This window comes from Homo sapiens, chromosome 5, assembly GCF_000001405.40.
Source record: "Homo sapiens chromosome 5, GRCh38.p14 Primary Assembly".
Classification (NCBI taxonomy): domain Eukaryota; kingdom Metazoa; phylum Chordata; class Mammalia; order Primates; family Hominidae; genus Homo; species Homo sapiens.
This window is the reverse complement of record NC_000005.10, coordinates 85,626,206-85,653,271: the sequence shown is the minus strand read 5'-3', so window position 1 is coordinate 85,653,271 and position 27,066 is coordinate 85,626,206. Positions and strand designations below refer to the sequence as shown.

At 34.6% G+C, this 27,066-nt stretch overlaps 1 long non-coding RNA gene across 1 annotated transcript, besides 2 other annotated features; it reads left to right on the top strand.

Moving 5' to 3' along the window:
- Positions 13,848-14,495: an enhancer, noted in NCBI's record as "NANOG-H3K27ac-H3K4me1 hESC enhancer chr5:84934595-84935242 (GRCh37/hg19 assembly coordinates)". NCBI's record gives its function as "activates a minimal SCP1, AML or CMV promoter by ChIP-STARR-seq in naive H9 embryonic stem cells {active_cell/tissue: H9 hESC(naive)}" and the evidence as "EXISTENCE:reporter gene assay evidence [ECO:0000049][PMID:30033119]".
- Positions 14,496-15,144: an enhancer, noted in NCBI's record as "H3K27ac-H3K4me1 hESC enhancer chr5:84933946-84934594 (GRCh37/hg19 assembly coordinates)". NCBI's record gives its function as "activates a minimal SCP1, AML or CMV promoter by ChIP-STARR-seq in primed H9 embryonic stem cells {active_cell/tissue: H9 hESC(primed)}" and the evidence as "EXISTENCE:reporter gene assay evidence [ECO:0000049][PMID:30033119]".
- LOC105379061 (uncharacterized) lies at positions 18,018-25,472 on the top strand. Its single transcript, XR_001742522.2, has 3 exons — positions 18,018-18,068; positions 19,843-19,978; positions 23,458-25,472. It is a non-coding gene; the product is annotated as an uncharacterized LOC105379061 (long non-coding RNA).
- The last annotated feature ends 1,594 nt before the right edge of the window (positions 25,473-27,066 follow it).

Here is a 27,066-nt window from a genome sequence, read left to right as displayed (position 1 = left end):
TACTATTATTATTTTAAAATCTGAAACTGAAGACAAGGTAATTTCAAAGTTTTTAGAAAATAATTACTAATATGGATAATATCTATCACAATTTTTATCTGTTTCAAATACTATATTCTCTATAGTATGCATATATTTTTTAAATTCATTATGAAGAAATCAGCACTGGTAAATGGTTATTAATTTTTATAATTTCACCTTAATGTATTTACAAAATATTAATAAAATTTTCCATTATTTCTTTGAATATGAATATTATACCTTGTGTATAAATTATATAGTTCTCATTCTAATTAAAAGTCAGAATTTCTCTCTTTTGTTTCTAAATTAACTCATCACCTCATATTAATTGATTTTTAACACTATGTTGGAGACAGAGTTGATACAATTACTCACCACACTGTCATGCAGGAACTAAAGTTATTGAATTGTGAACTCAATTGTAGAACTCAGAAGTGATAGATGTTTTCAAACATCAGAATGAAAAATTATATTTATTGAGGAAAAAGACTAAGGCTATGAATATTCCTTTAATCACTACATAAAAGAAACATTTGGAAGGATGAGACTAAGGAAGGCCAGTTTTTATGCCATTGGCTCTCAATCTCTGTAATGGCAATTGAATTTTTCTGTCTTTGCCGTTTCATGGTCTTATTATGTTTTAAATTTGTGTGTGTGTGTGTGTGTGTATACACAACTGACAAATATGGCAAAATATTAGCGTAAGACTGCTATTAAATCATACCTTGAATCTAATTTCTGGAGGAAAGGATAATTTTTACTAAGACAGCATCTCCAATGGAACTGTTTTAATTCTTCTAACAACAAACTTAAATTTTATATATATATATAAATTATATATAAATATTTTATATATATAAATTATATATAAATATTTTATATATAAAAATATATATAAATATGTTATATATATAAATTATATATAAATATGTTATATATATAAATTATATATATTATATATATAAATTATATATAAATATGTTATATATAAATTATATATAAATATTTTATATATATATAAATTATATATAAATATGTTATATATAATTTATATATAAATATTTTATATATATAAATTATATATATAAATTATATAAATTATAGAATTTTATAAATTATATAAATTTAATATATAAAATATATAAATTATATATATAATTTGTATATAATATATATCATATTCTGCTTCTTACTGGGGCAGGAGAATAGAGTCTGCAGGCAGGGAACATAAGGCGGATTCATGCTGACTTCTTGGAACTAAATCAAATGAAAACACTTCAGCTATGACAGGAAATATCCTCTCAATTTACATAGGACATACACTGAGTACATGACTTTGCAACTTTACTTAATCCTCTTCATTTACATAGGGCATACACCACATAACCAATGGAAACCTCTAGAGGCTATTTAAACCCCCACAAATTCTGTAACAGTGCCCTTGAGCCCCTGTGCTCTGGCTGCTCCCACACTGTGGAGTGTACTTCTGTTTTCAATAAATCTCTGCTTTTGTTGCTTCATTCTTTTCTTGCCTTGTTTGTGTGTTTTGTCCAATTCTTTTTATAAGACATCAAGAACCTGGACACCCTCCACCGGTAACAATACCCTTGATTTTCCCTGTAGTCTCCTCAGTTGCATTGTTATACTCGTTCTAAAAGTAATAGCCATTTTATGTGGCTCTGTGATTTCCACTTCCACTCCCCAGTGTGGAGAGCATGTTAAACATACAAAAGTTCAAATAATTATTGGATTGAATTGGAAGACCTGATCTATTTGTATTCTAAGCATATGAGGAAACCATGGGAAGCTAGTATATCAACATTCATAATGCTTTACCTCAGTGGTCAGCAAAACTACAGCCTATAGGCCAAAGGCTAATAGCTGCTGTTTTTTTATTTTCATTAGCTTGAAAACTAAGAATGTTTTTAAATTTTTGGATGCTTGAAAACTTTAAAGAGAAGAATGACCTTTTGTAACATATAAAAATGATATGGAATTCTAATTTCATTGTACATAAAGTTTACTGAACACACCATGCCAATCCCTTTACAGAGTGTCTCTAGCTACCTTGGAGCTACAGTGGCAGAGTTGAACATTTGCAACAGAGTCTAGAACCAAAACAAAAATTCTTACTATCTGGTCTTTCCAGAAAAAGTTTTCCATCACTGCTTTCCATTTTCTTATGAAAATGGAAATTTTTATCTCATTTGAGATTCACAACATTTCTATAGCGTATGTGGTATTCACCTCTAGCATGTTGCAAATAACAAGATCTACGCTCTGTATTGTGTAAATTTAAAAAACTAAAGCTTTGATTTTAAGTGATGTTGTCAGGGTTTTTTATACAACTTCTTGACTTCAGACTCAATAACTTCTCACTACAATTGTGTCTTCTTCCATCAAATAATCTCAGAGAATTCCTACTTTATTTTATAAAAGTTCTGTGAACACTACACCCTCTAGGTAACTTCAGTTTCAGAGAATTATGACCCAATGTGCAACTTCACTAATACAAGCTAATAACGTCTACATGATTCAAAATTATTCTACATTAGGTACTCTTTGAAAGGGGATAAACAGGGGGCAACCCAAAGTCTTCACTGACAATTCTGCTATGGTAAAGGAGACGCTCAGTAGTGACATAACCAAGGTCCAGAAGGGCCCCACCTGTCAGTTAATGACTTCCAAGTTGAGATATTCTTTCTAATCCCCCTTGCTGACTTGCAACCAGAAAAGGCACTCATGTGGTTGTAGGTCTTGGAACAGTGGAACAGGGCTAAAAGTAACAGGGCCTTCTAAGAAGGACAGCAAAAGAAAGAGCCTATCTTAAACTTTGTTTAAAAATCAAACACTTTGATTTTCTAATAATAATATACTTGCTATAACACTTCAGATTTCTCTATTAATTTTCACTTTGTGACTCTCTAATTATTTCTTCCCAATCACTTCACACTTGATGTGTCATCTTTAAAAAATATTTTTAAAAGACTCATTTTAGTAAAAGTGATAGACTTGAGTCAACTGTACATCTGTAATATAGGGAAAAACAATAGACACAGACAGCAAAATAGCAGAGTAAGCCCACTATCCAATCATATCTTGAATCTAATTTCTGGAGGATAGGATCATTTTTACTAAGAAAGACAGCATCTTTATGGAAACTTTTAAAATTGTTCTCACAACAAACTTAACAAAAAATAAAGATAAAAGTTTTCAACTGCAAGAACCAAAGCCACTGTTGCTTGAAGGAGGGGCTATTAGTCAGAGAGGTTCCTTCGGTGAGTAAAAAGGAAAAGAAAGATGGTCTATAAGAGGTATAAATTCTTGGGGTACATAAAACATAACTGAAAAACAGGATTCTGGTTTACAATAATAAAACCAAATAAAAAATGATCTTCCCCACTATATAATAGTGCAAGGCTAATTGGTAAAAAGAATGTACAGCTAAGAAGAGAGCGTAGTGGGAAGAAAGAGTAAAACCACAAAATACAAAAAAGTTTAAGACAATGGGTCACTACATTCTCTTTCACTTATAACTACTCAGATGAATAAAGAAGGAACAAAATGTTAATTATTGAGTCAATCTATTTAATAAAATATTATTAGTCAATTATTGTAGTAGGAAGAAAGTAAAACCACAAAATACAAAAAAAATTAAGACAATTAAATGGGTCACTACATTCTCTTGCATTTATAACTACTCAGATGAATAAAGAAGGAATAAAATATCATTTAGTCAATTATTGAGTAAAATACCTGATTTTATGTTCTAAGGCATTTTGTAAGTTTAATGAAATGATTATGCAAGATATAAACCTCGGAAATGAATATAGCTAGACATTAATTGATTAACATATAGACTAGTTAGACTAGTTATCTAATTAACTAGGAACAAACAATAAGTTAGGGTAGTAAATAGTAAAATTTCACAAGGTTCTGTATGAGTGAAATTGCTCCTTTAGGGTCTAACTTTTTAACAAGGGAACTAAAATATGAATCAGTTTTTTGTCTTTAAACATCATCCCAGCTAATGTTCTTCCCAAACCAATGGTTGTTTAAATTGCCAAATTTGTTATTTATTTCAATAGTTAAAATGCGATTAATTCATGTGCCAATTAAGAATCCCATAGAGAACTCTTTCAAAGACTATTATTTTTAAATTAAGATAGTTTTTTTTTTTGCTTTATTTGTGAAACTACACATCATGGCAATTTATTTTCTCAGGTTTTAAATTTCGTGTGTTCATTTCTACTCTTTACGTTTGACATCTTCACCTTGAACAGTATAGTTTGTTGTCAAACCCAGTGTCAATAGTTATATGTCTAATCAGGTTTTTAGTTGAAAGCAATAGACCCAATTTTGAACAATTCGAAGAGTAAAGAAATACACCAAGAATTATTATGTCTGATGACCAAAAAGACCCTGGGTTATAACAGTCAGGCTTGAGGGCTCTATAGCCAGGGAAAACGAGGAGTTACTCCAGCTAATACTACACTGCACTGTACCCACTATATTCAGATACAGAGCTCATGCTAGTGAGGCTGTTCAGTGAATGCCAGCTCGCCTGCTGCTGCCGCTCCCTCCCAAGATGTAGTCTCAAAACAATGTGAGTGACTGGCTGTATCATGTGTTTATAATCTAGATGAAAGATAAATTAGGGAGGGAAGATTCTGACTCCTTTAGAAAATTAAACCTCAGAAGAGTATTCAAATGAAGTTGGGCAGCCAAAAATTATGCAAACATTAAAAGGACAGTCAATAACTAGGACAAATTACTTATTTATCTCAGTTGTACAATTCCTTTGACAAAATACATTTCAGTTATTTATTTGTAAAACAGTAATTATGTGTGTGATGTTTTCAGCTTTATTCTAGGTGGGACAGAGTTCTTGCTCTGAAAATTTAACAATTTAGTAGACACAAAAAATAAATTAGGAAGATATTAAAATATTATACTCAGTAGAGCCATATACTTTGCAACGGTTTACAGAGGACGAAGACATTGTTTCTAATGTGTGGAAGGATTTAAAGTAAATTAGGAAACTTTTATAGCAAGTAATATTGAAAAAGAATGGAAGTAGAAGTGAGTTCTGTGAGAAAACATTTTAAATGGTCCATTTTCAAGGCATGATAAATCTAAGTAACGGCAGCCAGCCTGCAAATGTAACAAACAGCACGGCCCATGCACCTTAGAAGGTCACAATAAGTAAACAGAATGTAGAGGAGGGGTCAGCCCATAAAAGAGAAGAAAGTTTCATTATTGGGAAATTGAAACTTAAGCGGGGAAGGCGATGGGTTATAACCTTATAAGGAGGATAATGAAACTTAGTGTCATCCGGGAAGGTTGTAACCCCATAGTACTCAACCAATGAGGAACTAGGGGAGGGACTTGCGTACCGGAGATAAATTACCTGTTGTGACTGACCCAGGTGCGTCGTCCCAGACACCCGATGTTACAAGACCGTTATAAAAAGTCTCATTTTCACTGTTCTTCGTGCCTCTAAGTCCATTCTTTGGGTTTGAACGGGTGAGTGTGTTTCTCACAACCTGAGGGCCCGTTCGGGATCTCTGTGCCTACGTGGAGTGGGACTCCGGCTGAGAGAAGAGACATGTCCCACCCGATTTTTGTGCCCCACTCTGTCTGGGTGTCCTGGCTCCCCACAGAAGCCATAGATAAACCCGAGACTGTTATTCAGGAGACGGTGGAGGTGACGCAGGGAGAAAAGCAGGCACTGCGGCAAACAGGCAACCTCGTGCACCAGCCAAGGTAGGAAACTTGGACTATAAGTACCGCTTTGGTGGGGTATTTTCGGAGGTCCTCAGGGTGTGCAGAAAACCTCCAGTAAGAGGGGTTGGGTACACAGGAAAAAACTCAGACACAGAGACTGGCTGAAAATGGGAGACAAGAATTCCAGGCCTAGGGGACAAAGGAAAGAGGGAGTCAAAGAGACTCCTGACATTTCCCCGGATAGTCCTTTGGGGAAAATGTTGCAGGTTTGGAAGAACAACCCTCGAACCAGGAACAAGGAAAAGCAAAAGAGGCTAAAGTACTGCAGTTTATCTGACCCAAAGACCCCATTCATAAGCCTTCAGTTTTTTGGTTAAGTTTGGCTCAGATGAGGATTGAGTGTGCCAAGCTTTAATTCTCTATGTGCATAATAAAACTCCATCCTCACAAGAGCAGATACATTATGCTCTCTGTTGGACCTAGGAATTAGCCCCTATGTCCTCCTTGAAAGGGAGAAAGAGAAAAAGTAAGAAAGGAAATTGGAAAGAGAAAGGGGAGGAAATGGCAAATATAGACCGCCAGAGAGAGAAAGAGTTAAGCTGCTGACCCTGAAAGCAAGGAGACAGCTGGCTGTGCAGCTGGAGGCATGGGGCAGTAGGAGCCACAGAGCCAAAGCAGACAGCCAAGATAAAAGTGGACAGTGTGAGAGAGCCAAAGCTGTCTGTCTTGCAGACAGACAGAGATAGAAGAAGAAAATGAGAGAGAGACTGGAAAAGACAGAAGTCAAAGAGAGACGCAGAAGGTGAGACTGGGGAGAAAAGGAAAGAAATGGCATAAATTATCATGCAGGCAAGAAGAATCAGGATCTCTTCATAAAACAGCAAACACTTGGATATTAAAGTAGATGTAACATAATAAATAAGCATTAAATAACATGATTTATTTATATTACATAATAATTATATTTCATGATTATTTTCCTGTATGAACTTGTTTTATTAATCATGCATTGGTGCATCATTCTTTTACACAAAAGTTTGCATTGTGCATTATTTACTTTGTTAGCTGCTTCATAATTTGTTACTAATATATTTTTTAACTTTTAACTTCTATTTAATTACACCTAACTTATTACGTGCCTAAGTCAAAATTTCTGATGCTTATTCCCAATTACATACAGGCTATGTTCTCAAAACTTATTTGTTTATTTATGAGACAGGGAATCCCTGTGTTGCCCAGGCTGGAGTGCGGTGACACCATCTCAGCTCACTGCAACCTCCGCCTGCTGGGCTCAAGCGAACCTCTCACCTTAGCCTCACAAGTAGCTGGGACTACAAGCTCACTGCACCAGGCTCGGCTAATTTTTGTATGTTCTGTAGAGAGAGGGTTTCGCCATGTTGCCCAGGCTGGTCTCGAACTCCTGACCTCAAATGATTCTCCTGCCTCTGCCTCTGCCTCCCAGAGTACTGGGATTACAGGCATGAGCTACCATGTCTGGCCATATGTTCTCAAAATTTTAAATGAATAATATTCAGTCTTCTGTCCTGGAAAGATAGCAATGTAAGTTGACTTGCTGTGGATTTTCATCACCAACAAACTTTCAAAACTCTGTTTTAGGAAGTAAATTATAAGGAACACTATATATAGTTGTGGAAGGTGAGAGAGCTGAAATCCGGCCTTCATTTCACTCTTTGTCATCAGACTGATTCTTCTATGGGATCTAGTAGAACAAATGTTGGCCTTTAAAACTATTACATTTTGAACATTGAGTCAGAAGCTTTGCATTTCTATCTGATATATTGATGATGCTATAGCACAATAGTTGAGAGATAGTTGGATATTTCTCAATTGAGGAAAGGGGATTTTTGTGACACTCTTTTGAAGACATCTGAAGAAATCCGAAAAGTAACCTCCAGCAATTGCACATGGAACAGAATATCCAGACAGCTGACATGTCAGGCTGGGATACTGCTTTGGCCATACCTTAGCAAATGTATAATATGCATACAGACCCTAATGATTTTTTTCTTAGACTCCGTATATTCAGAAGTTAGAGCCATCTGCTAGATCCAGGGGATGGAGTGCAATGGCGCGATCTCAGCTCACTGCAACCTCCACCTCCAGGATTCAAGCGATTCTCCTGCCTCAGCCTCCCGAGTAGCTGGGATTATAGGCGCCTGCCACCACACCCTGCTAATTTTTTGTATTTTTAGTAGAGATGGGGTTTCATTATATTGGCCAGGCTAGTCTCGAACTACTGACCTCGTGATCTGACCGCCTCAGCCTCCCAAAGTGCTGGGATTACAGGTGTGAGCCATGGCACCTGCCCAAATGAAAAAGGTTTTGTAAACAAAAAGAAAACAGATTTGCCCTACTTTCAGATGAATAAAAATCTTTTATTGATTTTAGCACTTTATAGAAATAAGTAATGGTTATTTAGAAAAAAATAAGAGAATAAGAAAAGGCAGAAAAACTATGGAAGATTACTTGGATTCTCACAATTTATGGATAAGTATTGTGAAATCTTGCTGTACGTTTGTTTCCACTAATATGTAGTTATACACATAGTTAATATGGAATTATTAGGTATATACTTTCAAAATCTTTTTTTCATATATAGAGGGCTACATACCTAAGGGCTTACATACCTCTTCACTGGCTCCAGGATGTTGCCTTTAAACTTTTGACAAAGCTAAAACAAAATTTAGACACATAAAATAACATTAAAGACATTCATAAACCTCTTCTGCACTTCCTTGAGTTTTCTTAACAATACATTAATATATAATATAGTGTCAGCTTGACTGGATTTGGCTTGTTAAGTATTCTCAAAAAACATTTCAAAGGCTTATCTACAGTGAACTTGCTGTTGACTTCACTTTGATATTAACTGTAAATTTTTGTCTCCTGGGTAGCTGAATCAATCATTTGTACTTAAAACTTTTACTACTTTCATGTTTGAAAGCACCATTTACTACTCTAATAATTTTATTTTATTTATTTTTTTAAATTTTTTATTTATTATTATTATACTTTAAGTTTTAGGGTACATGTGCACAATGTGCAGGTTAGTTACATATGTATACATGTGCCATGCTGGTGTGCTGCACCCACTAACTCGTCATCTAGCATTAGGTATATCTCCCAATGCTATCCCTGCCCCCTCCCCCCAACCCACAACAGTCCCCAGAGTGTGATGTTCCCCTTCCTGTGTCCATATGTTCTCATTGTTCAATTCCCACCTATGAGTGAGAATATGCGGTGTTTGGTTTTTTGTTCTTGCGATAGTTTACTGAGAATGATGATTTCCAATTTCACCCATGCCCCTACAAAGGACATGAACTCATCATTTTTTATGGCTGCATAGTATTCCATGGTGTATATGTGCCACATTTTCTTAATCCAGTCTATCATTGTTGGACATTTGGGTTGGTTCCAAGTCTTTGCTATTGTGAATAATGCCGCAATAAACATACGTGTGCATGTGTCTTTATAGCAGCATGATTTATAGTCCTTTGGGTATATACCCAGTAATGGGATGGCCGGGTCAAATGGTATTTCTAGTTCTAGAACCCTGAGGAATCACCACACTGACTTCCACAGTGGTTGAACTAGTTTACAGTCCCACCAACAGTGTAAAAGTGTTCCTATTTCTCCACATCCTCTCCAGCACCTGTTGTTTCCTGACTTTTTAATGATTGCCATTCTAACTGGTGTGAGATGGTATCTCATTGTGGTTTTGATTTGCATTTCTCTGATGGCCAGTGATGGTGAGAATTTTTTCATGTGTTTTTTTGGCTGCATAAATGTCTTCTTTTGAGAAGTGTCTGTTTATGTCCTTTGCCCACTTTTTGATGGGGTTGTTTGTTTTTTTCTTGTAAATTTGTTTGAGTTCATTGTAGATTCTGGATATTAGCCCTTTGTCAGATGAGTAGGTTGCGAAAAGTTTCTCCCATTTTGTAGGTTGCCTGTTCACTCTGATGGTCATTTCTTTTGCTGTGCAGAAGCTGTTTAGTTTAATTAGATCCAATTTGTCAATTTTGTCTTTTGTTGCCATTGCTTTTGGTGTTTTAGACATGAAGTCCTTGCCCATGCCTATGTCCTGAATGGTAATGCCTAGGTTTTCTTCTAGGGTTTTTATGGTTTTAGGTCTAATGTTTAAGTCTTTAATCCATCTTGAATTGATTTTTGTATAAGGTGTAAGGAAGGGATCCAGTTTCAGCTTTCTTCATATGGCTCACCAGTTTTCCCAGCACCATTTAGTAAATAGGGAATCCTTTCCCCATTGCTTGTTTTTCTCAGGTTTGTCAAAGATCAGATAGTTGTAGATATTTGGCGTTATTTCTGAGGGCTCTGTTCTGATCCATTGATCTATATCTCTGTTTTGGTACCAGTACCATGCTGTTTTGGTTACTGTAGCCTTGTAGTATAGTTTGAAGTCAGGTAGTGTGATGCCTCCAGCTTTGTTCTTTTGGCTTAGGATTGACTTGGCGATGCAGGCTCTTTTTTGGTTCCATATGAACTTTAAAGTAGTTTTTTCCAATTCTGTGAAGAAAGTCATTGGTAGCTTGATGGGGATGGCATTGAATCTGTAAATTACCTTGGGCAGTATGGCCATTTTCACGATATTGATTTTTCCTACCCATGAGCATGGAATGTTCTTCCAGTTGTTTGTATCCTCTTTTATTTCCTTGAGCAGTGGTTTGTAGTTCTCCTTGAAGAGGTCCTTCACATCCCTTATAAGTTGGATTCCTAGGTATTTTATTCTCTTTGAAGCAATTGTGAATGTGAGTTCACTCATGATTTGGCTCTCTGTTTGTCTGTTGTTGGTATATAAGAATGCTTGTGATTTTTGTACATTGATTTTGTATCCTGAGACTTTGCTGAAGTTGCTTATCAGCTTAAGGAGATTTAGGGCTGAGACAATGGGGTTTTCTAGATATACAATCATGTCGTCTGCAAACAGGGACAATTTGACTTCCTCTTTTCCTAATTGAATACCCTTTATTTCCTTCTCCTGCCTGAGTGCCCTGGCCAGAACTTCCAACACTATGTTGAATAGGAGTGGTGAGAGAGGGCATCCCTGTCTTGTGCCAGTTTTCAAAGGGAATGCTTCCAGTTTTTGCCCATTCAGTATGATATTGGCTGTGGGTTTCTCATAGATAGCTCTTATTATTTTGAAATACGTCCCATCAATACCTAATTTATTGAGAGTTTTTAGCATGAAGCGTTGTTGAATTTTGTCAAAGGCCTTTTCTGCATCTATTGAGATAATCATGTGGTTTTTGTCTTTGGTTCTGTTTATATGCTGGATTACATTTATTGATTTGCGTATATTGAACCAGCCTTGCATCCCAGTGATGAAGCCCACTTGATCATGGTGGATAAGCTTTTTGATGTGCTGCTGGATTTGGTTTGCCAGTATTTTATTGAGGATTTTTGCATCAATGTTCATCAAGGATATTGGTCTAAAATTCTCTTTTTTGGTTGTGTCTCTGCCCAGCTTTGGTATCAGGATGATGCTGGCCTCATAAAATGAGTTAGGGAGGATTCCCTCTTTTTCTATTGATTGGAATAGTTTCAGAAGGAATGGTACCAGTTCCTCCTTGTACCTCTGGTAGAATTCGGCTGTGAATCCATCTGGTCCTGGAGTCTTTTTGGTTGGTAAGCTATTGGTTATTGCCACAATTTCAGATCCTGTTATTGGTCTATTCAGAGATTCAACTTCTTCCTGGTTTAGTCTTGGGAGAGTGTATGTGTCGAGGAATTTATCCATATCTTCTAGATTTTCTAGTTTATTTGCATAGAGGTGTTTGTAGTATTCTCTGATGGTAGTTTGTATTTCTGTGGGATCGGTGGTGATATCCCCTTTATCATTTTTTATTGTGTCTATTTGATTCTTCTCTCTTTTTTTCTTTATTAGTCTTGCTAGCGGTCTATCAATTTTGTTGATCCTTTCAAAAATCCAGCTCCTGGATTCATTAATTTTTTGAAGGGTTTTTTGTGTCTCTATTTCCTTCAGTTCTGCTCTGATTTTAGTTATTTCTTGCCTTCTGCTAGCTTTTGAATGTCTTTGCTCTTGCTTTTCTAGTTCTTTTAATTGTGATGTTAGGGTGTCAATTTTGGATCTTTCTTGCTTTCTCTTGTGGACATGTAGTGCTATAAATTTCCCTCTACACACTGCTTTGAATGCGTCCCAGAGATTCTGGTATGTTGTGTCTTTATTCTCGTTGGTTTCAAAGAACATCTTTATTTCTGCCTTCATTTCGTTATGTACCCCGTAGTCATTCAGGAGCAGGTTGTTCAGTTTCCATGTAGTTGAGCGGTTTTGAGTGAGATTCTTAATCCTGAGTTCTAGTTTGATTTCACTGTGGTCTGAGAGATAGTTTGTTATAATTTCTGTTCTTTTACATTTGCTGAGGAGAGCTTTACTTCCCAGTATGTGGTCAATTTTGGAATAGGTGTGGTGTGGTGCTGAAAAAAATGTATATTCTGTTGATTTGGGGTGGAGAGTTCTGTAGATGTCTATTAGGTCTGCTTGGTGCAGAGGTGAATTCAATTCCTGGGTATCCTTGTTGACTTTCTGTCTCGTTGATCTGTCTAATGTTGACAGTGGGGTGTTAAAGTCTCCCATTATTAATGTGTGGGGGTCTAAGTCTCTTTGTAGGTCACTCAGGACTTGCTTTATGAATCTGGGTGCTCCTGTATTGGGTGCATATATATTTAGGATAGTTAGCTCTTCTTGTTGAATTGATCCCTTTACCATTATGTAATGGCCTTCTTTGTCTCTTTTGATCTTTGTTGGTTGAAAGTCTGTTTTATCAGAGACTAGGATTGCAACCCCTGCCTTTTTTTGTTTTCCATTTGCTTGGTAGATCTTTCTCCATCCCTTTATTTTGAGGCTATGTGTGTCTCTGCATGTGAGATGGGTTTCCTGAATACAGCACACTGATGGGTCTTGACTCTTTATCCAATTTGCCAGTCTCTGTCTTTTAATTGGAGCATTTAGTCCATTTACATTTAAGGTTAATATTGTTATGTGTGAATTTGATCCTGTCATTTGATCTTGTCATTCTGATGTTAGCTGGTTATTTTGCTCATTAGTTGATGCAGTTTCTTCTTAGTCTCGATGGTCTTTACATTTTGGCATGATTTTGCAGTGGCTGGTATCGGTTGTTCCTTTCCATGTTTAGTGCTTCCTTCAGGAGCTCTTGTAAGGCAGGCCTGGTGGTGACAGAATTTCTCAGCATTTGCTTGTCTGTAAAGGATTTTATTTCTCCTTCACTTATGAAGCTTAGTTTGGCTGGACATGAAATTCTGGGTTGAAAATTCTTTTCTTAAGAATGTTGAATATTGGCCCCCACTCTCTTCTGGCTTGTAGAGTTTCTACTGAGAGATCCACTGTTAGTCTGATGGGCTTCCCTTCGAGTGTAACCCGACCTTTCTCTCTGGCTGCCCTAAACATTTTTTCCTTCATTTCAACTTTGGTGAATCTGACAATTATGTGTCTTGGAGTTGCTCTTCTTGAGGAGTATCTTTGTGGCGTTGTCTGTATTTCCTGAATCTGAAGGTTGGACTGCCTTGCTAGATTGGGGAAGTTCTCCTGGATAATATCTTGCAGAGTGTTTTCCAACTTGGTTCCATTCTCCCCGTCGCTTTCAGGTACACCAATCAGACGTAGATTTGGTCTTTTCACATAGTCCCATATTTCTTGGAGGCTTTGCTCATTTCTTTTTATTCTGTTTTCTCTAAACTTCCCTTCTCGCTTCATTTCATTCATTTCATCTTCCATCGCTGATACCCTTTCTTCCAGTTGATCGCAGTGGCTCCTGAGGCTTCTACATTCTTCACGTAGTTCTTGAGCCTTGGTTTTCAGCTCCATCAGCTCCTTTAAGCACTTCTCTGTATTGGTAGAAGTTATACATTCTTCTAAATTTTTTTCAAAGTTTTCAACTTCTTTGCCTTTGGTTTGAATGTCCTCCTGTAGCTCAGAGTAATTTGATCGTCTGAAGCCTTCTTCTCTCAGCTCGTCAAAGTCATTCTCCATCCAGCTTTGTTCCGTTGCTGGTGAGGAAGTGCGTTCCTTTGGAGGAGGAGAGGCGCTCTGCTTTTTAGAGTTTCCAGTTTTTCTGCTCTGTTTTTTCCCCATCTTTGTGGTTTTATCTACTTTTGGTCTTTGATGATGGTGATGTACAGATGGGTTTTTGGTGTGGATGTCCTTTCTGTTTGTTAGTTTTCCTTCTAACAGAGAGGACCCTCAGCTGCAGGTCTGTTGGAGTACCCTGCCGTGTGAGGTGTCAGTCTGCCCCCGCTAGGGGGTGCCTCCCAGTCAGGCTGCTCGGGGGTCAGGGGTCAGGGACCCACTTGAGGAGGCAGTCTGCCCGTTCTCAGATCTCCAGCTGCGTGCTGGGAGAACCACTGCTCTCTTCAAAGCTGTCAGACAGGGACACTTAAGTCTGCAGAGGTTACTGCTGTCTTTTTGTTTGTCTGTGCCCTGCCCCCAGAGGTGGAGCCTACAGAGGCAGGCAGGCCTCCTTGAGCTGTGTTGGGCTCCACCCAGTTGGAGCTTCCTGGCTGCTTTGTTTACCTAAGCAAGCCTGGGCAATGGCGGGCGCCCCTCCCCAGTGGCGGGCGCCCCTCCCCCAGCCTCGCTGCCGCCTTGCAGTTTTATCTCAGACTGCTGTGCTAGCAATCAGGGAGACTCCGTGGGCGTAGGACCCTCCGAGCCAGGTGGGGTACACAATCTCCTGGTGCGCCGTTTTTTAAGCCCGTCGGAAAAGCGCAGTATTCGGGTGGGAGTTACCTGATCTTCCAGGTGCCGTCTGTCACCCCTTTCTTTGACTAGGAAAGGGAACTCCCTGACCCCCTGCTCTTCCCGAGTGAGGCAATGCCTCACCCTGCTTCGGCTAGGCTCGCGCGTGCACCCACTGACCTGTGCCCACTGGCTGGCACTCCCTAGTGAGATGAACCCGGTACCTCAGATGGAAATGCAGAAATCACCCGTCTTCTGTGTCGCTCACTCTGGGAGCTGTAGACCGTTGTTGTTCCTATTTGGCCATCTTGGCTTCTTTCTACTCTAATAATTTTATACTTTCGAATGCAGTAATGTAAATTCTAAACACATTTGGAAACTGTGGAATTATTTTCATTTTAAATTTATCAACAATGCTTTATAATATAAATAAAATATTTGGCAAGCAATTCATACATTTAAGGAAGAAGTAGTCTTGTCTATTTGGAAGAGATAAACTAAATTGCTATGTTCATGGTATATTTTGGATTTAGAAATTTTAAGGAATATCAAGATCTCCAAAAATAACAAAAAGTAATTATACATAAAATGTATGACTACAAAGGTAAGTTGCATATGTTGTTTAAATAACTTTAAAAAATTTTTTCTCTAACTGAAAACAAGGAGTCAGAAAGCACTTGTTCAAAAATAGTAAATTGTGCATGATACCAAGTCAGCTTTTTAAATATATTTTTAAAATTTTAGTTGACATATAATAATTGTATATATTTATGGGATACAGACTGATATTTTGATACCCATGTATAATGTGTAATGATCAATTGGGAAAATTAGCATATCCTTCAAGTCAAAAAAATTGATCATTTCTTTGTCATGTGAACATTCAAAATTCTCTCTTCCAGCTTTTTGAGAATAGACAATAAATTTTATGTGATCATATTCCCCCTACAGTGCTGCAGAAAACCAGAACTCATTCCCCCATCTAACTGTAATGTATCTATTAACCAACCTCTCCCCAGCCTCTGTTTTCTACCTCTCCTTCCCAGACTTTTATACCCACAATTCTACTCTTTACTTTTCTGACCTCAAATTTTATCAAGTCAGTTTTTAATGACAAATCATCACCTCTCCCATGTCTCTTAAGTAGACATACTGCTCTTAAAGTGACATGAATTGAGTATATCATCAAGAAAGCAAAACCATGTGAATAAAGTCACTTAAAACCAGCTTCAACGTATTAAATAAATAGTAATTAAAGCCCACTTTCTCAAATCCTTATGGGTTGGAAAAGAAATTAGCTGCCCCAAATTAAAATCTGTGTATTCCACCTTTTATTATGAAATATAACACATTCACAAAACAGTAAGATAAGGTATATGTATGGCTTAAATAACTATAAGCAACCATGCAGATCAAAAACTAGAATGTCAATACTCACACCTACTATTGCTCCTTCCTGGTCATAAACCACCTACCCCTGCCAGAAGCAAGTGTCCTGAGTTTTACATCAATCACTTGTTTGGCTTAAAATACTGTCACTTAAATATGCAACTATGAACCTTATATTTATATATAAGGTTATATATATATATATATATGGTGTTTTATATATATGAGGTTTTATGTGTATATATATGTATATATATACACACATAATTAAGAGATATGGAAAAGGTGGTAATGTGTCATTAAAAATTGACTTGATAAAATTTGAGCTCAGAAAAGTAGTGATAAGAATTGTGAGTATAAGAGGCAGGGAAGGGGAGTTAGAAAACAGAATGAGGAGAGTTTGGTTAGGAGATACAACATTACAATTAAATAGGAGGAATGAGTTCTGATTTTCTGTAGCATGGTAGAGTGAACATGGTCACTTATAATTTATTGTATATTCTTAAAATATTGTGTGTTCTCAAAATATACAATAAATTATTTGTAAGGTTAAATATATATATATGGTTTTATATATATACATACACATATACACACAAAAGATAAATATATATATCCTCTCATTCCATGAAGTTTTTTTGTATTTTTTATTATTTTGCCTATTACTTATAATTCAATAACTGAGTGTTTTATGAGAAAAAGTTTCAATTATTTTTTTCTATATAGATAATCAATTTCCTAGTACAACTGAAAAGATTGTCTTCCACTTTTATTTAGCCATGTCAATTTTGTTGTAAATCAAGTGTCCACATAACCATAAATCTGTCTCTGGACTCTTTAGTCCGAAAATTTGTATATTTGTCTAGCCTTGTGCCAAGAATACACTATTCTAATACTAAGATTTTATGAGTATTGTCAGTATGTAGAACAGGTAGTTTTCACACATGCATGTAGAATGTTAGATGGAATACATTTGATCCTTAGTATAGCTTGAAAAGAATTGATAAGTTAACAATATTGAGTCTAACAAATCATCAAAATGTATATTTTCTCATTTATTTAGCTCTTATACTCCTCAATAAAGTTTTCCTGCTATTTATTTTTAGTACTATATATACATTAATGCTACTTTTATCCTCTTTTTAAAAAATACTTTCCTGATTGTTGTTTGTATATGAAATACAAGTGATTCTATATATCTATTTTTGGATCCAGGCTTGTAATTTTCTAAATTCATCTCTAAGTTATTTTGGATTTTCTATACATACAATCTTATTGCCTGAAAATAATGCTATTTTTCTTTTATTTTTTCCAAGAAATATAATAACTATGGTTTTCTTCCTTTTCAAATCTTACAGGTACTTCCTTTTACTTCATTGTCTAGCAATTCATTACAAGGTTGCAAAAAAGTGGGGATCATGATAATTTATTTTTATATTTTTCTCATTAAAAAGAAAAGCTGCCCATATTTCACATTTAAATACAATTGTTAATGTAAGTTTCAATTATGGGTAATTTTAATTAGATGACTTTTTGCTATAATATTTCATTATGAAAACTTACTGATTATTATCAAATGTTTTTCTTATAAATATGATCAATATCATCATGTAATTGTTCCCCTATAATCTGCTATTATGCAGAATTACAGTGATTAATAACTAAAGTTAAATCAATTTTGTATTTCTGGATAAATCTTCGTAAGTCATGGTATGTCTTTATATCTTTAGAAAGATTAGATAGATATTCAGTGATATTTATATCTATAAGTTTATCTGTCTATGCAACTTTCTATTTGTGTTTAAGACTTTTTGCATATGTGTTTACTGAGGGTTTTTACTGGTTCTTTTTTTTTCTCATACTGATCTTGTTTGGAGTTGGTATAAAGGTTATCTTAGTATCTTAAATGGAGTTGGGGAATTGAGTAAGATTGGAGTTGTTGTTTGTTGTTTTTCTCTCTATATCATAAAATATTTTATTTCTTCTCAGAATGTTTTCTTGCTATCTATATTTGCTTTTTCTGGGGTGATGGTTACAGGTATATTAAGCAATTTGATATTATTCTGTGATCCATGGATATTCAGCTCTGCTTTCCCTGATATTTCCTCTCTTTTCTTCTTGATATTTCAGGTTGGGTATTTCCTTCAGCCTATTAAAGGAATTGGGAACCTGTGGTACCGTGAGTTTTATTTTTAGCACTTCAAATTGATATTTTAAGACTTTTCTCTGATGAACATGAAAAGTACATGATGCACCTGGAACATCTTGATGCATCAGAAAATACAGATGCACTCAAAGAATGATGTATATGTGTTAAAAGGAAACAGATGCTCGTATTAACTTTGGGTCATTTTAACTTCAAAATTAAACTATGTGCTATGATTTGAATATCTGTCCCCTCTAACTCACATTGACAGAATTCCCAATGTGGCAGTATTGAGATGTGGGACCTTTAAGAGGTGATAGAATTAGGAGGGCTCTGCCCTCATGAATAGATTAATTCAATTACGGATTAATGGATTAGTAAATTATCATGAGAGAGGAACTGGTGGCTTTGTAAGAATTGAGAAAACTGAGATATCACCTAAGATATCACCAGTATGCTCAGCCCCCTCACTCTGTGATAGCCTCTATCACCCCAGGATGCCCCAGAGAGTCCCCACCAGCAAGAAGACTCTCACCAGATGTACCGCCTCAACCTTAGGCTTCCCAGCCTATGTAACTCTAAGAGATAAATGTATTTCTTCTTAAGTTACGCGGTTATAGGCATTTTGCTACAAGCAGCAGAAACAGACTAAAGCAAAATGATTACAATTGCTTACATGTTATTGAATAAAATAGAAACCCATGAGTCCATACTTGTATCAATAAATAGAAAAATAAAGATTTAATGAAAATTGGAAATGTATTAGGCTGGTGCAAAATTAATCGGTTTTAGTACAAAAGCCGTGATTACTTTTGCACCAACCTAATACATAGTTTCAAGGTATCTTCCCACAAGTATTTATTAATTATAAAGGAAAATAGAGTAACTTTACATGGAAGAAGTGACAGATACAGCTATTTTTCTGAGAGATCAAATTAAATATTACCAGTGTTCATATACACTGAAATTCTACATCATGGTTAGCATGCAATGAGAAGAACATAGCAGCATTTTTGTTATATTATTGCCAAACCATTAGAGTCAGAGTCTAACCATTAGAAAATCTAAAAAAAAAAAAAAGAAAAAAAAAGAAAAAGCTAAGTGCATACTCAAATTGTTTCCCAAACCTGGAAATATTCTACAAAAACACTTGTTCCATAGTTTTAGAAATTATACAGAATAGGAAAGTCAAAGTAATTTCAAAGAAAATGAGACACATGACAACTAAAAGCAAACAGTTTTATTTTGAACTGGATAGTTTTACGATAAAGTAAATTATTAAGACAATTGTTGAAAGTTGAATGAAGGCTGAGGATTAGATGGCAATAATGTGTCAATGTTAATATTCTTATTCTGGTGATTATGTTAGAAAATATCTTTGTTTCTAAAAAATACATACCCACAAATTATTCATAGATAATGGAGTATTGTGTAACTGTTTCATTCTGTGATTATGTTCAACTAGTTCAAAGGGAAAAATTGTGCTTTATTAGCAAATTTGATACAAGTTTAAGATTATTTCAAACATTTAAATATGTGTTGAAATGTGCATATGAATGCTGAACAGCCAAAGAGGTGGACTGACTACTTTTTAATCGATTACTTTCAAGTTTAAACCTTTCCTCCCATATTCTACTTTGTGATTCATAGGATATGTCTTATAAATCACATTTCTCCCTTGAAAGTGGCTCCTTGTTAGGCCTTACCAAGAAAGGGCACTAGTAGTAGCTTGCAAGCCTAGAGGAAGACACTAATTTTTCATATGTACTTCCTTTAGTCTTCCTGTTTGTATCCTTTCTGTTTGCAGTTCCTTTGAGTGTCACGGGAGTACCATCTCTTTACCTTGGCAAGAGCAGATCCTTCATATCTGTAGTTGAATCACACACTCTCAGATATCTGAGCTTGAATTCTACAGGGACACTTATCTCAGCTTTTGAGTTTTAGTAAGTATAACTTCTTACCTGTTTGTCCCAACCCTTGGGATGGAAGTTACCTTTTACAGTTGCAACAAAAGAAATATTTTTTAAAATCTCTCTCTCTCCCTTACATTTGCCTAGCTAACAACTTTATACCTAGTTAACATATCTTTATATTAAAGTATCTTTAAACCATAGTTACTTAAACTTGATTAAATTTTTAACTATTTAATTACTAACATAAGTTTTTCAATAATACCAGGAAAGATTATTAAGTATGGGAGAATGTGATCCATCTTAAATCTTAAGTATCAAATATACATTTTCTTTTATTCTTGCGATCATATCAATGAAGTGCCTGATGCTAGAACACCAACAGTTCATGCTTCACATTTTTGAGACATAGGTAACTTTTGTTTTTAATTTTTAACTTTCCTTATGACAGTAAATGTCACAGAGGATAAGTAGAAAAAAAAAGAGATGAAATAACCATCTAACAAAGTTAAATTAGGTGAAATGCTGTGTATGTTTATCTTTTGAAGATACAATAAATGCACAATACACAATACACAATGGAGGAGTCGTTATTTGACACCAAGTGCCCTTCACTTATACTCCCCAAGGCATAATAGAACACAAGGCAGTCATATTACTTTTATCTTGATCAAGAATAAATCCTTGAATTTTAATCTTAGTGAAAGGAAAAGAGAGAGGCAATTTGAAAATGTGAATGGTAAAACAATAATTACAAGCACTTAATGCATACATAAAAAGCTATGCCTGATAATAATGATTACGACTAATGTTAAAATATAATTGATTTTTGGAGCCCATTACTTCTATAAAAGAAGAGTAGAAATAAAGTATCAAACTTTTTATTAAATACACAACCGACTTAAACAATGTGGCAATGTAAAACCACTCAGAAAAACCAGACAGGATTGAGATGCTAAGTAACAGCAATCATTTAAAATAATCTGGACTACTAGAGAAATACACGTAGTAATATGTTTTAGTTATCTGAAATATTAGGATCTAAGATGGATTTTTCTGACAATCAAATCTAATTATTAAGATTTTTTTTCTGAATTGAGTGTAAAAAGCAGTGTTCATATTTAATCTTTCATTATATTCAGTGCTAATAATATTTGATTTAAATGAGGAATGTGTATGTAATTGTTTAATAAATAATTATTATTGATAAACTGAAAGGATTGTGTTTGGATAAAAGGGTTTTATCTTACAGATTTTTCTCCTTTTTAAAATTTTCTGTGAATACAAAACAATAATGAATAATGCATTTTAAAAGCATTTTCATATTTTTTGAAATAGTGAGTAGGTTTTCTTTAGAGAACATTCACGTATACCTTAAAATATTAATTCTAAACATTATTAATAAATCTTACAATGTTCAATCAGTATTTTTTCTAAGTTTTGAGATACACAATTTAAGAAAGAAATATTCTTAATTAGATGTCAAGGGTTAATTACATATTAAGTAGTAACTTGAGTAGACTTTTTCTTGAGTCATTAAATATAACCTGATTTAGTATGTATTAAAATTCAATTAAGTTTATACTTGATTAATACACAGTATGCCAAATGTATATTAGTGGATGCCATTACACATTTTTATACTCACATTAAATGTGTAGCCTAGATATAAGCTACTAATTATTTCTTAGTTTTCCTCATTTTTTTCTTTTTTAAATTTTCACTGGGTCTTATCATATGGTCAGAGTATGGTAGAACTGCAATGGTTTATGAAAAGCAACTACCTGATTTGTTCAATACAAGTTTCACAGCTACTTAAATCCTTGTAATTCAGCTAAAGTTAAGTAAACAGATAAGGAGATACATTTATGATAAAGAAGTCCACTAAATCACTTGAAACAAGAGATTGTTATTTGGCAGGGGCAGAATTTTTTAGTGAATGCTCATTTCTAGTAGGATAAATGAATAAATGAGTAGTGACTCTATTTTTTTGTTTTGTTCCTTATCATGAACTTCATGGATAATATATTGCCTATCACAGTTGTCTGTCTGCAAGTCTCAAGCCTTAATATTGACAGAGTTTGTTGTTGTTGTTGTTGTTGTTATTTCTTATCTAGATTGTTTTATAAGTCTATGCATACAAACAAAAGTACTGGTGATTTAATTATTTTCACTGAATCCTGAAATACAGAGTACACCTTAGCTTTGTTAGAATATCATAAGTAATTTTGTTTTACTGACATAATTTACTATGTTGATAGAGGAGTACAAAGTCCCTAAAGCCATGGTTTGGAAAAACATTAAAAATGTTACTGAGTACCTAGTGTATCTACTGCCATTAATGCTTGTTCATTAAGGAAGAATTCAACAAGAGTAGCATATATAAATTTCATCCTTACAAGTAAATATCCTTATCCAGTTGGATTGGCAGGACATATGTGCCTGTATTAACTAAACGTATGTTCAGAGAAAGATATCAAATGCAATAATATATGTGGATAAAGACTTAAGCCATTAACATTATAGAACACATAGTTGTGGGGGTATTAAATCATGGATATTTTCATGGAAGAGTTCAACTCAAAATCCTGTTTAGAAAACTTAAGGGAAAGAATATCTTAGAGCAAGAGTTGACAAATATTTTATTTAAAAGAACAAACAAACAAACAGTAAATATTTTGGGAATTGTGGCCAAATACTTTCTGTTACAAAGGGTTAACCCTGATGTGGTGGCATGAAAAGAGCCATAGACAATATGTAAATATATGAGCATGCTTTATTTCAACAAAGCTTCATTAAAAAAAGCAAAACAAAACAAAACAAAAAACTAAAAGCTTGATTTGGCTCCTGAGCCAAAGCTTGAACCCCTGGTTTAGGACATAAGTCTTTTGGCTACAATAATATCACAAAATAAACCTAAATTTAAGAACAACCAAGTCATATCAAACGAAGTTTGCCTGTTAAAATTTTAATTCATGAAGAGAAATATAAAGATATATACTCTTATATAAATGAGTTTGTTTGTGTACATTTTTGCTGATTTTAATAGTATGGTTTGGAAAAGAAAGATGAAAACTGGATAATATGAATGCTTTATTGAATGGTCCGTATTTTATATGGTTAATAAAATATACCACTTTTATTCAATAAACTATTGATCCCTTAGAGATTGTACATTAATTCTTTGAATAATGAAGGTAACTAAGAGAAAGTAAGGTTTGTCATCTATGTAAAAATATCTTTTATTAAAGTTATACTAATTTTTTTTCTGATACTTAAAAGAGGAGGATGGCTCTCTTATTGCAAATTTTCTTAGGGAGAGTCTAGCTTAGTCTCATAACTGGTAAACTAAAAACTGTTCTGTTCTACAATAAAGAGATAAATCTCTTCCTAGCAGGTTTATTGTGAGGATTAAAGAGATAAGATATTTAGAAACTCTAATGCAATGTCTGTGTAAAGTTGGAAATCCCTCAAGATATTTTAGTTCTCTTTCTCCTTCCCCTTCTCATCAGGGAGAAATAGCCTGCAGACCAGAGAATAAGGAAAAGTTGTTTCCTGCCAAAGAACAAGCAGTATTGTGAAATATAAAATTTTATTGTTGCGGTGAAAGAAAATTTCAGTATCAAATTTTTGAAAACAGTAAGTAGACCCATATTTCCATTATATACCAACCTCACTTTATTTTTTATTTGATTTTGGCCTTATTTTTAGAAGAGTCCAAATCAAATAGTTTCAAATGCTTTATGGAAAATTCATCCATTGACAATGTTCATAGCATTTACATTTGGTTTTATAACCATAATTAAGTCCTAAATGTTTTGTAATTAGGATGATTCTAAAGCTAAAAACTCATTAACAAGAATGACAATATTTGAATATGTGAACAATTTTCACAACAGAGCCAAACAATCTGTTAAGGGATTCCTTGTTTTCAGATATTAAGATTCTACTACCCCTAAGCCACTACACTCTAAAACTTTCCCAGTTGTTCAAGTTGTTCTATAAAAGTTGGATTCACAAATTAAATAAATATTTCCAATAGAATTCCTTGCTCCCATATCCACCCAGGGCTTTGAAAAGCTTTATTTTTTTCTTGTTAAAGGACGGCTTATATACCTTTAATTAGAGCACCATTTTATCCCATTTATTTACTTATTATATATTTTTATTACTTTATTGCATTAGAAAAGTTCAAATTAAAACTACAATATAATATAGGTACACATCTAATAGGATGGCTGTAATAAAAAATTGACAGTATCAAGTTTTTGGTGGGGAAGTAGAGAAATTGGAACCCTCAGACATTGGTGGAGGGAATGTAAAATCATGTAGCCACTTTGGAACATAATTCAGTAGGCTTAAAACTTAGATGATGGGTTGATAGGTGCAGCAAACCACCATGACATATGTATACCTATGTAATAAACCTGCACCTTCTGCACATATATCCCAGAATGTAAAGTAAAATTTAAAAAAATACATTTGACAGATGACTCAGTAATTTCACTCCCAGATATTTGCCCAGAGAATTGAAAATTTGTGTGCACACACACACACACACACATACCTCCTTAAAATGTTTTAGTAGCTTTGCTCTTCATTAACAAAAGTGGAAAACAACCACAAGATTCTTCCACAGGTAAATAGATAAACTATGTTAAATATATAAAATGGAATACTATTCAGCAATAAAAAGGAACAGACTGCTACTGTTATGGTATATGTGCTATTTGGTACATATATTATGGTACACATTAACCTCAAAAATGTCAGGCTAAGTAGAAGAAGCCAGATATAAATTGTCTTGTATGGGATAAAATTTCAAGTTCTGGCTTCATGTCCTTGATGCTCCTAAGTCCTCAGAGGCCTAATGGTAAGTCTCCTGCTCTTGCTAGAAATGTCCCCATTCAAAGGGAAAGGGTCCCTATACAGCTAGTTCCTGTATCAGCCAGACCAACTACACTCCACCTGGTCCTCAACCTAACAGTTTCACTTCCCTTACAGCCAAAAAGTTAGTCAAACAAATTAGTCACACCTTCAATGGGAATCAGGGAACATCTTACCCACCTGTTACTAGAAAGCCTGCCTCCCAGAGCCCCTACTGATTTACTGTGCTCCAGAGTGCATCTCTGCATGGCCCAGTGTCCCCCTTCTCTAGTCTGTGAGTATATGTAACTAATAACCTGCAGTCTGTCTCATCTGTGCGGTATCAGGTGGTGTGTGTTCAGCTATTTTATACTATTTGAGGTGAGGGACCCCTCCTTCACCAACCAAATTAGTAGTGGAGGTGATCAGAACACAGATGATCCCAGTTGTTACCAGGGACTGGGAAATTGAAGGAAGCATTGATTGGTAACATGTACAAAGAAACTCTTTTGGTGACAGAAATGTTTTATAACAGGATTGTGTGATAGCTTACAACTCTATAAATTTACCAAATATTTAATTACAAACATTCTAAATGGTGTATCTTATGGAATGAAAATTTACCTCAATCAACTGTTATACAAAAAATAACTAAATAAAAGAGAGAAAAGGTACAAGAATAACTGGCAGAAAGTAAGCAGAAAAACTGAAGTATTTTTAGTTTCATGTAGTTAAAAATAAATTATATTTTACATATACATCTAAAATAAAACTTACTTTTCAACTTATTTATAACAATATATTTAACAATATTTATATTATAAAATAAAATATATACATAAATGTATATCTTATAAAATAAAATATATACATAAATGTATATCTTATAAAATAAAATATATACATAAATATATATCTTATAAAATAAAATATATGCATAATAGAATCTACTTTTAATTTATTGTATAAAACATTATATATACATATATAATTATATATATATTTTACATATATATATATATATATATATATATATATATATATATATATATATAGTTTTTGGTGAGGAAGTAGATAAATTGAAACCCTCAAGCACTGGCGGAGGGAATGTAAAATCATATAGACACTTTGGAACATAAGTTGGTAGATTCTTAACAAGTAAGATATAAACTTGACAAATGACCCAGTAATTTCACTCCCAGATATTTGCCAAGAGAATTGAGAACTTATGTGCACACGTGCACAGACACACACACACACACACACACACACACACACAGACATGCCTCCTTAAAAATGTTTTAGTAGCTTTGTTCTTTATCAACAAAAGCTGAAAACAACCAAAGTATGTGTGTGTGTATACACACTTTTTGTCTATGTTAGTCTAGATCGTCTGAGAAACATCACTGAGAGAAAACTAAGAGGGAACAGAAGGTCTGGGAGACCCATGAAAACCACGATGGCAATCTGATCCTTCGTGAAAGAGAGAGAAAAGACAAAAAGCAAGACAGGAAGAAGGATAGTTAGGTGGAAGTGTTTTAAGCTGCAGTACATTTCTAAGGACAGTTCAGCAAGTTCAATTAATTCTGACAGAGGAATCCCACATCTCCCAGGAAGGGGCATACCTTAGTATCCTAACCAAACTCAGTCATCAAATAGTAGCAGCGTGTGGAAAGAGAAATACAGCAATGGATTTTAGAGTGCAGCAGTCAAGACCCTCAGTCAATTATTCTCCCTTATATCAAAGAGGCACAGCCTCACTACTATCACAACGGTCCATTTCCATTTTAACTGAAGGAGAGCTTTCATTAACCTAGGAAGTCAGATTGGCTTTCCTACGCTGTTTTGAAATATGTCTGTCGGCCCAATGACATGATAACTTGAATGGAAAAGTTGACTAGGAACTCTGTGTACATGGCCTGGATTTGTTTCACTGGAAGGTTTTTAATTAGCATGAACAAATGAGATGTCACCTGAATAGGTGGAGCTATACTTGTTTGTGTTCTATCCACTACCTTTGTTGCCAAATTCCCTAGAAAAGTTTATAGAAGGAATAGATATTTTTTAAACCTGTATGAAAGAAGAAAGGAAATTATATGAAAGCTTTGTTCTCTAACTTTTTATGAATCAGACTTTCTTTACCACATATATTCTAAGGGGGTGATATTTAATTTGAGGCATATTTTAAATTATTTCACCAAATATCTTATCCAAGTAATAATTCAACTGCTATAATGCAAACAATTTGGAAGAAT